Raw genomic sequence first — 12,366 nt, 5'->3', positions numbered from 1 at the left:
TCACCACCATCCACCTCCTGAACCCCTTTCATCTTGCAAAACTGGAACTCTACCCACTAAACAGTAACTCCTCATTCTCCTCTTCCCCCAGCCCCTGGCAAACCACCACTCTACTTTATGTCTCTATGAATTTGACTATTCAAGGGGCCTCATATAAGTAGAGACATGCAGTATTTTTTTTTGTACTGGTTTATTTCACTTTGCATAATGTCCTTAAGTTTCCTCCATGTTGTATTATGTGTCTGCATTTTCATTTTCAAGGCTGAATAATATTCCGTCATATACACTACATTTTGCTTATCTATCCAACTATCCATGGCCACTTGAGTTGTTTCTGTATTTTAGCTATTGTGAATAATGCTGCTATAAACATGGGGGTACAAAAAAAAAGCTTGTTTTTGTTTGTTTGTTTGTTTTTTTGTTTTGTTTTTTTTTTTGAGACGGATTCTCGCACTGTCGCCCAGGTTGGAGTGCAGTGGCGTCATCTGGGCTCACTGTAAGCTCCACCTCCTGGGTTCAGGCCATTCTCCTGCCTCAGCCTCCCAAGTAGCTGGGACTACAGGCGCCCGCCACCACTCCCGGCTGATTTTTAGTATTTTCAGTAGAGACGGGGTTTCACCGTGTTAGCCAGGATGGTCTTGATCTCCTGACCTTGTGATCCGCCCGCCTCAGCCTCCCAAAGTGCTCGGATTATAGGCGTGAGCCACCGCGCCAGGCGGAGAACAGATTCTTGCACCATGCATGCAGACATGAACTCAAGGTAACGTGCTAAGTATTCATATAGAATCTATTAAGATTTACAGAGGATGGCTGAGTGTCGTGCCCTTGGGTGTCAACACAAAGTTCTTCACGTCACATTCTATCCACTTGGAGTCCGCCATGCAATCTCAGTAGCTACTTAACTCACCCTGTGCAGGTGTTATCACTAGTTATTCTAGGTAGAGAGGTACGTTCAGCAACCCACTAAACCAAATGTATCAATTGAAATAGAATTCTGAACCTACCATATAAAGCTTGGTTCAGAAGTCACTCTTGCATCCCAATATGCCCCCTATTGATTATTCTATTTGTTGATGGACTTTGGAATGCACCAATTATGCAAAAGTAGATCAGCCCCCATGGAGGTGGCTGGTTTTCTTACCCGTGGAGTGACTGGTGGCCACGTTTGAGGCTGTGGCGCTTGGACTTTGTTCTTGCGCGTGGACTGTGCTTTCTGAAGTTGGCAGATCCTCGATGCGAATGCCTGTTACACTGTTGACACTTGTTGCCACCTATTGTAGGTGTAAATGAGGAAAAACAGGAAATAAAGCCTACTGTCTTTAAAATATATCCCCTGCCTTATAAAAGGATTTAAGGTGGCATAAAAATATGGAACATATGATGGCATGAATTGCAAGTAGAAGAAAATGAACAGAACAATTAGATCTTGAAGAGACGGTTGTACACACATGTTCATAGCAGCATTATTCACAACAGCCAAAAGTGGTAGCAACCCAAGCGTCTGCAGACAGAAGAATGGATACACAGTATGGTCTATACATGCAACAGAACGTTATTCAGCTTTATTTTTTTATTTTTTGTTTTTATTTTTTTGAGATGGAGTTTCGCTCTTGTTGCCCAGGCTGGAGTGCAATGGTGCAGTCTCGTTTCACCGCAAGCTTTGCCTTCCAGGTTCATGCAATTCTCCTACCTCAGCCTCCCGAGTAGCTGGGATTACAGGCGCCCGCCACCACACCCAGCTAATTTTCTATATTTAGTAGAGATGGGGTTTCTCCATGTTGGTCAGGCTGGCCTCGAACTCCCGACCTCAGGTGATGCCTGCCTTGGCCTCCCAAAGTGCTAGGATTACAGGCGTGAGCCACCACACCCAGCCTGTTCAGCTTTAAAAAGGATGAACATTCTGACACATGCCATAGCATGGATGAACCTTGAGGACATTATGCTAAGTGAAATAAACCAGTCACAAAAGACAAGTACTATATGATTCCACTTACATGAGGTGCCTAGAGGAGTCAAATTCATAAGATAGAAAGTAGAACAGTGGCTGCCAGGGGCTGGGGGAAGGGAAGAATGAGTTATTGTTTCATGGGTATAGAGTTTCAGTTTTACAGGATGAAAAGTTCTGGAGATCGGTTTAATGATGTGAATATACTTAACACTACTGAATTGTACACTTAAAAATGGTTGAGATGATAAATTTCATGTTATTTTTTTAACCACAATAAAAAACATATGCTAATGAGCACCTCCTATGGGCCCAGCATGGTTCCAAGCCCTGGGACTATAATGTGAATAATATAAATTCTCTGCTCTCTTGAAGCTGGCATTCTGGGGTGGGGTAGCAGAATATGAACATTTAGTAGGTAAATAAGTACAAAGGGTGGTTTGATATGATTTTGAGTGCTTTGAAAGAAATACAAGCTAGCCTTGTCTAGACTAGACTAGACTAGCCTTAGGAAAATTTATTCTGTAAAGGGCCAGATGGGTAAATATTTCAGCTGTCCAGGCCACACAGTCTCTATTCTAACTAATCAACTCTACTCTTACAGTAGGAAAGCAGCCAGACAATTCTCAACTGAATGGGCATTGCTGTGTTCCAATAAAACTTCATTTACAAACACAGTGGGCGGGCCAAATCTGGTGGGTAGTTTGCTGACCTAAGGGCTAGAGGGTGACTTCTGATGGAGGTGAGGGTGAGACTACTTTAGGCTGTTTGAGATGGCATCAACCTTGAGATGCGTAAGAAAAAGGCAGCCGTTCTGTAATTTACCCCTCCCGCTGTAACGACTCTTCCCGCCAAAACTGTCTTTCAAGTTAGCCAATCGGGCTCAGTTTAAATTGTGCTGTCCAACTCCAGCCAATGGACACAGTAGTAGGGACAAACTGCATTAAGAATAAAAAAACCCTTTCCCGCCTTTGTTCGGTGTGCTCTTGTGACAACCAGTCCTGCGAGAAACAACCTTCTACAGAAATAAATTGGCCTTGGTGAAAAATCTTTTGTTTAAGTGTTCGTTTTCTCTGCGACTCTGAGCTTTACTTCCAACAGATGTGGGGGTGAGATTACTTTAGGCTGTTTGAGATGGCATCAAACTTGAGAATTATAAGGAAAAGTCAGCCATGGAAAGATCTGGGCAGTGTTCTAGGCAGAGAAAACCAAAGCCTAAGTTGGAACAAGCTTAGTGTGTTCAAAGGTCAGAAAGGCCAAGATGGCAGAAAAAGAGAAAGTTAAGGAGATGCTGGTGTACAGGTCAGATAGGCAGGCAGGAACCTCCGTTCTGTTACCAAAGAAATCATAGATTCCCTCAAAGGTCGAGGATGTGGCTCATTGACCTCCTCAATCCCTCCCAATGCCTGGCACCTTCTCTTGTCTATGGTAGGTATGTAACACATATGAGGAGTTAATTAAAATTCATCAGGTTAAGAATGTGTTGGTCGAGAGGCTAAATAGTCTATCATCTTGTGGTCTGTGGACTGATTCTAGTCCTGTTTATTACCAGTCTATAGTGAGAAAACAAATTGAGACTGACTGACTTATTTATTTATTTATTTTTTGAGGCGGAGTTTCACTCTCGTTGCCCAGGCTGGAGTGCAGTGGTGCGATCTCGGCTCACTGCAACCTCCACCTCCCGGGTTCAAGCTATTCTCCTGTCTCAGCCTCCCGAGCAGCTGGGATCACAGGTGCACACAGCCACGCCCAGCTAATTTTTGTATTTTTAATAGAGACAAGGTTTCATCATCTTGGTCAGGCTGATCTCGAACTCCTGACCTCAGGTGATCCACCTGCCTCAGCCTCCCAAAGTGCTGGGATTACAGGTGTGAGCCACCACGCCCGGCTGAGAAGATATATTTAGAACCCTTTATAGCAATGACATTGCCACAACACCCAAGAAAACTTTCATTGTATTGAAAGTTGGGCTGTAACAGATTGGAAATGTAAAATCCTGGCTCCTTTTACCAATTTGAGAAGCTCTGGCTTCTACTCTCCAACCACCTGTGATCAGCACACCAGCTAAGTGGACGAAATTGGGAAAGACAGTAACTCCTCACTTAACGTTGTTGATAGATTCTTGGAAACTGCGACTTTAAGGAAAATGACATGCAGCAGGTCCTCACATAATGTTGGTTCTTTCTAAGTCATTTTGCTTCAAGTCACAGTTTCCAAGAACCTATCAACAACATTAAGTGAGGACTTATTCTTCTTTGTTGAGCCACGTAACTATTCCTTGGTATGGTGGCTCATGCTGATTTTATAGATAGATATATTTTTATATAAAGTAAATTAATATACATCATAGCCTTGCATGTGATCACATGCCTACGGAAAAAATTCCTCTCTTCCCAGGACACTGACCAGAGTTGTCAAGCCAGACTTATAGCGGTCTTCGCTGGTTCCTGGAGTCACCACATCATCTTCGGCACCTGGCATGGCAACGCCGCCTTCCAAACCTGTAGTCTCAGTGTCATCTTCTGGCTGGCCTGTGCTGGCTGAAGAAGAAAGATTGAGTCAGAGCTTAAGGTGGAAATTGCATAAGCAGACCCAACTTGTCGGCTACATTCGGATTATTTTCTTTTCCATTTCTTTTGGAAATTTTTGTTTTATTTTTGGTCCTTTTTGTGGCTTACTGTGGTGCCAGAAACCAAACCATTCTCCTTGCAGCACTTCTGACACATCAACACCCTGGTTATCTCCGTTGCAAAGCAAAGGAAAATGAAAACATTAAAAGGTAGAGCAGCCAGCCCCTCCCTGGGGCCCCATCGAGGTGGCCTGGACAGGGGACGTACATCTTTCCTTTTCAATAAGGAACCAGATTCTTCCTGGTGTCATTTCATATGATGAATTAATATATTCATCTGGACCTAAAAACTCTAAATTAGAGTCAACAGGAAAGATTTCTAAACACACCCCTTTGCAGACCCGATGCAAAAGCGGGGTCTCCATCTTTTTATTTTTTTATTTTTTTCTCTACCTTTTCAAATTAATTTTTCTTAAGAGACAGGCTCTCCCTCTGTTGCTGAGGCTAGAGTACAGAGGCACAATCATAGCTCACTATAACCTCAAACTCCTGGGCTCAAGCGATCCTCCCGTCTCAGTCTCCAAAGTAGCGGGGACTACAAGTGCTCACCACCACACCCAACTTCCATCTTTTTAAAAGCAAACTCTCTCTCCATTTAATTTTAAGACTGCTGTTCACTTGGACAATTAGAACCACAGGCTCTGACCACAGACCTCGTAGATTACATGGAGTTTTACCTCTTACTTTACAGTTGAGATTACTGTCTACAGGGGAGGGTCAGTAATATGCTTAGGGATGCCAAGACACCAACAGAACACTTAGTACACCAAGAGCCAAACTAGCTGGGTGCAGTGGTTCACGCCTGTAATCCCAACACTTTGAGAGGCCAAGGTGGGTGGATCATTTGAGGTCAGGAATTTGAGGTCAGGAATTTGAGACCAGCCTGGCCAACACGGTGAAACTCTGTCTCTACTAAAAATACAAAAATTAGCCTGGTGTGGTGGTGGGCACCTATAATCCTAGCTACTCAGGAGGCTGAGGCAGGAAAATTGCTTGAATCCAGGAAGCAGGGGTTACAGTAAGCTGAGATCGCATCACTGCACTCCAGCCGAAACCCAATCTCCAAAAAAAAAAGAGCCAAACTAATGAACTGCCCTTGGCCCTGGCTTTTCCGCATTAACATTTGGACAAATGATGTGTCATGCCAATGAGAAAGGTTTCTGGGCCAGGTGTGGTGGCTCACGCCTGTAACCCCAGCACTTTAGGAGGCCAAGGCGGGCGGATCAGAAGGTCAAGAGATCGAGACCATCCTGGCCAACGTGGTGAAATCCCATCTCTACTAAAAATACAAAAATTAGCTGGGCATGGGGTTGCATGCCTGTAGTCCCAGCTACTTGGGAGGCTGAGGCAGGAGAATCGCTTGAACATGGGAGGTGGGGGTTGCAGTGAGCCAAGATCACACCACTGCACTCCAACCTGGTGACAGAGCAGGACTCCGTCTCAAAGAAAAAAAAAGGTTTCTGCTGGAGCAGGGAATTGGAGTGGACTACCAGGCTGAATTCTACAATGAGAGATAGAGCAGATAACAGCAGTATCCTCTTCTTCAACTTCTGTTGCAGTGACCCAAACTAGTCATGACCATGCTCAATTATCATCTCCAAAAATCACCAAACAACCCTCTTTGTGCATTAAAAATGTGACTCACTGGCCATGGGCTTCTTCCCTAAACTCCAGTGGTTCTGGAAATTCCATGACTAAATACAGTTGCAAAATAAACAAGCATACACATCCCAGGAGCGAGGGGGAGGGAGGTGCTTGGAAATTTCTTTGTGTAATGAAAGAGCAGATGTTTGTTTGTCTCTAGGCAGCACTTACATTAGCAATCCATTCCTTGCCTTAAGATACCTTATTCTCCCCACTGCTTAGACAGCACTTATATCAGCAATCCATTCCTTGCCTTAAGATACCTTATTCTCCCCACTGCTTAGACAGCCCAGCCAGAGGCACAGCTAATAAATATTTGATTATAGCTTCTTTGATGCCTAGAGGAAGCCTCTGAAGTTAGTTCACTTGTTCTATGAGCCTGCTCTTTTATTCTAGAGTCCTAATCCAGTAGAGATGGCTTTGGATGAGCTACCTACACATTTTTTTAATCTGGGGGTGTACAGCGAGGGGTTTACCAGTTAGCAATAACCGAATATTTCCATGCATGCAAATGGTTTGCCTCTCCATGTGGCCTTTTGCTGGAGTAGGGGTAGAGGTGAGGGTTGGTGATTGGCTCCTACAAAAATGTATGACTTGTGGTGTAGGCAAACGCTTACTGTGTATTTATTGAGCTCAATGGGAAATATCCCTTTGCCAGACAAGTAGTCCTTATTAAAAAACTTACTAAGCTTCCCATTTTATTTCTTCCTCACCTGGTTTGAACTTAGTTAACAAATCATCAATTTTAAAAACGTTTTCTGGAGCGGTTTAGTACAATCACTTACTTATTTGGTGTATCTAACTTAAAACAATCCTTGCTTTAAAAAAAAAAAATCAAGTGCTCAATGAAATTAGATTGAATTCTTTCATAGAAAGCTCAGTTCATTGAAAGCGTAACTTTATAAAAATTCCTTCTTGTTCTTTTCTACCCTTGGCCCACAGAGCCAAGTACTAAAATCGCTCTGAATGGACAAAAGGCGTTTTATGAATGATAGTCAGGATTAAGATGCATGTCTTTTGTCTCACCGCCCTAGCATTCTTTTTGCTCCATGGGAAAGCTGAACTTTAACAAGAGATCCCCAATTGTCCCTCTTAGTATCTTGGCTGAAGGATTCCCTGGGTGAAGAGTTCCTACTAGGCCAGCTGCCGAGTTTCCAGCCAGCATCTCATGTCTTTTCCCCTTCCTCCTGAAATTCAAATCATGGATGCCTTCACTTTCCAATCCTCTTTTCCCCAAGACATATGTATGCACAGGCATACATATGCACGCACACACGCATACACACACACATACAGGGATGCACATATGTGCAGACACACAATTGTTTCTACAAGTGTAGAGTGACGAATTTGCCATCATAAACCAATACCCACAACCTAGCTTGCAGGTTCAGTTCTGGAGTGGTGTACCAGCGTGCTCACATAAACACCCTTTCCTGCCACACCCAGCCTCAGCCAAACACGGCTCAGTGGAAGTTTCCAAATGCGGCAGCAAACGATCCACTTACTTTGAAATTTGTTGTTGTTGTGATTATTTTAAAAAAGCTAGGCAGGGCTGGGCGCGGTGGCTCACACCTATAATCCCAGCACTTTGGGAGGTGGAGGTGGGTGGATCACGAGGTCAGGAGTTCAAGACCAGCCTGGCCAAGATGGTGAAACCCCGTCTCTACTAAAAATACAAAAATTAGCCTGGCACAGTGGCAGGTGCCTGTAACCCCAACTACTCGGGAGGCTGAGGCAGGAGAATCACTTGAACTCGGGGGGCGGAGGTTGCAGGGAGCTGAGATCATGCCACTGCACTCCAGCCTGAGTGGCAAAGTGAGACTCTGTCTTAAAAAAAAAAAAAAAGCTAGGCTGAAGTTTCTATTTCCTAGGAGAAGATGATTTGATAAATCAACTGTCACTTGGGGTTCTTAATTTTTGAGAACAAATAAACGTAAGCAATGCTTATTTATATGAAATCACTAACTATGAATAACTTTTATCTTTGCATTCATGTCTAATAACTCGCTAGATTGCACACATTACAGGATGGCATTTCTTTTGTCTTTTCTTTGAGATGGAGTTTCACTCTTGTCACCCAGGCTGGAGTGCAATGGTACAATTTCGGCTCACTACAACCTCCGCCTCCTGGGTTCAAGCGATTCTCCTGTCTCAGCCTCCCAAGTAGCTGGGATTACAGGTGTGCACCACCACGCCCAGCTAATTTTTATATTTTTAGTAGAGATGGCATTTCACCATGTTGGCCAGGCTAGTCTCGAACTCCTGACCTCAGGTGATCCGCCTGCCTTGGCCTCCCAAAGTGGGCATTTCTTTTTTAAACAGAATTTCTTTCTTTCTATCTCTCTCTGTTTTTTTCTCTCTCTCTCCTTTGTATTTATAGAGATGACATCTCATTTTATTTTTATATATATATATATATTTGTAGAGACAAGGTCTCACTACATTGCCCAGGCTGCTCTTAAACTCCTGGGTTCAAGCAGTCCTCCCACCTCAGCCTTGCAAAGTGCTGGGATCACAGGCATGAGCCACTGTGCCCAGCCTGCCATTTCTTTAAAAATACTTTAGAGTTGGCCAGGCACGGTGGCTCACGCCTGTAATCCCAGCACTTTCGGAGGCTGAGACGGGTGGATCACCTGAGTCAGGAGTTCAAGATCAGCCTGGCCAACATGGTGAGACCCCGTCTCTACTGAAAATACAAAAAAAAAAATTAGCCAGGCATGGTGGTGCACACCTGTAATCCCAGCTACTGGGGAGGCTGAGGCGGGAGAATCACTTGAACCCAGGAGGCAGAGATTGCAGTGAGCCGAGACTGAACCATTGCACTCCAGCCTGGGAGACAAAAAAAAGAAGTACTTTTGAGTTTAGATGTAACATTCAATCAGGCTGTTATTGTAATAGTCCAAATTCTTAATAAAAATCTTTTAAATAAGTGATTTCAGTCTTCTGGTTTTATTTACACTTCTTTGATTTGTGGAGCGAGTTGTTTCATCCATTTGTCTTCTTTTGTGACCGTTTTTGTAATGGTCACATGGCATTCCCTCTTATAAGCACTGTTCATACCTTAAGAATGTATTCTTTGGCCTAAATGCTGCTGGCATTTTTTTTTTTTGAGACGGAGTCTTGCTCTGTCGCCCAGGCTGGAGTACAGTGGCACGATCTCGGCTCACGGCAAGCTCTGCCTCCTGGGCTCACGCCATTCTCCTGCCTCAGCCTCCCAAGTAGCTGGGACTACAGGTGCCCACCACCACACCCGGCTAATTTTTTTGTATTTTTTAGTAGAGACAGGGTTTCACCATGTTAGCCAGGATGGTCTCAATCTCCTGACCTTGTGATCCACCCGCCTCGGCCTCCCGAAGTGCTGAGCCACCCAAAGTGCTGAGCCACCCAAAGGCATGAGCCACCCAAAGGCATGAGCCACCCAAAGGCATGAGCCACCCAAAGGCATGAGCCACCCAAAGGCATGAGCCACCGCACCCGGCCTACATCTTTCTTTTGCAAATGACCAAGCTATCAGTAGTCAAACTTCTTAAACTTGTTTTCTCTTTGACATCACACTCACAAACTCTTCCTCAAGATCACATAAATATTCACCTATGTTTTCCTTATGGTATTGTACTTACGTTTAATATTTTTGTCTGTTTATTTTGAAGTATTATAATAAAAGAGAAATATAATTTCCCCCCAAAAGATTAGCCAATCACCCTGATAAATCCTCTTTTCCCCACTGCTTCAAAACCAGCTGTCATTGAGACAAATCTTTTCTTTCCAATACTATGTCATGGCTGGGTGCAGTGGCTCAGGCCTGTAATCCCAGCACTTTGGTAGGCCAAGGCAGGCAGATCACCTGAGGCCAGGAGTTTGAGACCATCCTGACCAACATGGCAAAATGCTGTCCCTACTAAAAATACAAAAATTAAGTAGGCAGGATAGCACATGCCTGCAGTCCCAGCTACTCAGGAGGCTGAGGCAGGAGAATCGTTTGAACCCAGGAGGCAGACGTTGCAGGGAGCCAAGATTGTGCCACTGCACTGCAGCCTGGGTGACAGAGCAAGACATGGTCCCAAAACAAACAAATACTATGTCACAGTTACAGGAGAAACTTAGCACAAGGCCCAGCTTAAGTGGCCTGGACACTGCCAACTATCCCCACTCCACATGGGCCCTCTGTCTGCAGAGTCTCCAGAAGCTGTTTCTAAATCCGTGCTCTCTTCACTGTAAGCTCCCTCTTCCTCCTCACATCAGCTGACAGCTGCTGAGTTAAATCAGTGACCAGGGAGTAGCTAGAATAAAACTCAGTGTTTAGGGCAAGGAGGAAAAGTAAGTATTCAAACAGGTGCATTTGGGGTCGTTCAAGATCTGGCACTGACGCAGCATTGTAAATTCCACTTAACGTGGAAGACACCTCATTGTCCTAACACCCTCTCACATTTGCTACTCACAATGTAGGGTTTACATGGCGTCTCCCAGCTGACTTTATTTCACAACAGCGCTGTGGTGGCTAGGCCCTTAGCCTGCCTTCACAAAGAATCTTGTTAGGCCAGTTTAGCAAGAGTCCCCCCAACCCCATCTCTTAGGAATTTTCCACCCACTGATCCCCTCATTCTGCTTGTGGGCTACAAATCCCCACTTTTCCTTTCACCCAGAGGTGAACCTGAGCTCTCCTCCCTACTGCAATGCCCCTTATTACAGGGGTCTTGACTAAAGTCTTCCGTACAATTTCAACAAGTGTCAGAATTAGTGTTTCTTTAACAAGGTCGGAAGTTAAGTGATGTGGCCCAACGCGGTGGCTCACGTCTATAATCCCAGCACTTTGGGAGGCCAAGGCAGGTGGATGACCTGAGGTCGGGAGTTCAAGACCAGCCTGGCCAACGTGGTGAAACACCTTCTCTACTAAAAGTACAAAAATTAGCTGGCCATGGTGGCGCAGGCCTGTAGTCCCAGCTACTTGGGAGGCTGAGGCAGGAGAATCGCTTGAACCGAGGCAGAGGCTGTAGTGAGCTGAGATTGTGCCATTGCACTCCAGCCTGGGTGACAAGAGTGAATCTCCATCTCAAAAAAAAAAAAAGAGTTAAGTGATGTGCCAAGTTCATGATTCATTAGCGGACACAAAGCCAAATATTCTAACCGCATCCCTGGACTCACCAACATACAACTAAAAAGCAGCTGTGCATTTTCGTGATGTGCTCTCCCGGCAGCTTTGGGCTAAAATGCCTGCTGCCTCCCTCCCTGGGTTCTGAGATCCTTCCCCTTCTGCCCAGGTGCCATCCTCATCTTCCCAGAAATCACGTTCCTGGTAGTCAGGAACAATTGCTTCCCCTGGTACCTCACTGCCTCTTATGAAATCCCATCTTGTTAGAATCTTCCAGTCTTATTTAATGACCACAGTCTTGACCTCCTCCAGTGTGTCCCCTTACTAGGAGAAATCTGGACGAATCTAAACTTTCAGCAATGGCAGGTTAGAAGGAAGGTATGACTCACTCTAAAGGAGGTGTTGCTTTGAGCAGCAGCAGCCCTCTCCCCGCTTAACTGTGCAAGTTAAGGCAGCAGCAAAAACCAAGACTGAAGCCTGCATGAGTTCACCTCTACAGCCCCAGCTCCCAGCATTTATATTCCTTCCACAAATATTTACCAAGCACCTGCCAAGAGCTGGGCCACATTCTCATCACTAGAGACAGAGAAGTGAATAGGTAAGGAAGATCTCCACTCTTAAGGACTAGAGTACTCTTGGAGTGGGGTGGGGTCACCATAAAAAAATAAGCAACACATCAGATAAGCTATTAATCCCAGCACTTTGGGAGGCCAAGGTAGACGGATCACTTGAGGTCGGGAGTTTGAACCCAGCCTAGCCAACATGGTGAAACCGTCTCTACTAAAAATACAAACATTAGCCAGGCGTGATGGTGGGCCTCTGTAATCCCAGCTACTCAGGAGGCTGAGGCACAAGAATCACTTGAACCCAGGAGGTGGAGGTTGCAGTGAGCTGAGATTGCGCCACTGCACTTCAGCCTGGGTGACAGAGCAAGGCTCTGTCTGAAAAAAAAAAAAAAAAAAAAAAAAAAAAAAGATAGCTTCTCGAACACATCAAGATAGCTTCCCTCATGCCTTCAGATCTCAGGGAACTTTCTGGCCGGGCATGGTGGCTTAC

The 12,366-nt window shown here is 44.9% G+C and overlaps 1 protein-coding gene across 8 annotated transcripts in view; it reads right to left on the bottom strand.

Moving 5' to 3' along the window:
• PDPN (podoplanin) overlaps positions 1–12,366 on the bottom strand; it is a 34,201-nt gene that overhangs the window by 6,300 nt on the left and 15,535 nt on the right. For all 8 annotated transcript variants that reach the window (NM_198389.2, NM_006474.5, XM_024451404.2 and 5 more), the window contains 2 exons: positions 4,352–4,485; positions 1,142–1,271 (listed from right to left, as the gene is read on the bottom strand). In NM_198389.2, coding sequence (NP_938203.2) covers positions 1,142–1,271; positions 4,352–4,485 — 264 coding nt within the window. The remainder of the gene's footprint in view (positions 1–1,141; positions 1,272–4,351; positions 4,486–12,366) is intronic.

The sequence above is a fragment of the Homo sapiens genome, chromosome 1, assembly GCF_000001405.40.
Source record: "Homo sapiens chromosome 1, GRCh38.p14 Primary Assembly".
NCBI classification, from domain to species: Eukaryota; Metazoa; Chordata; class Mammalia; order Primates; family Hominidae; genus Homo; species Homo sapiens.
Note: the sequence above shows the minus strand (reverse complement) of the source record. Positions and strands in the feature narration are given on the sequence as shown.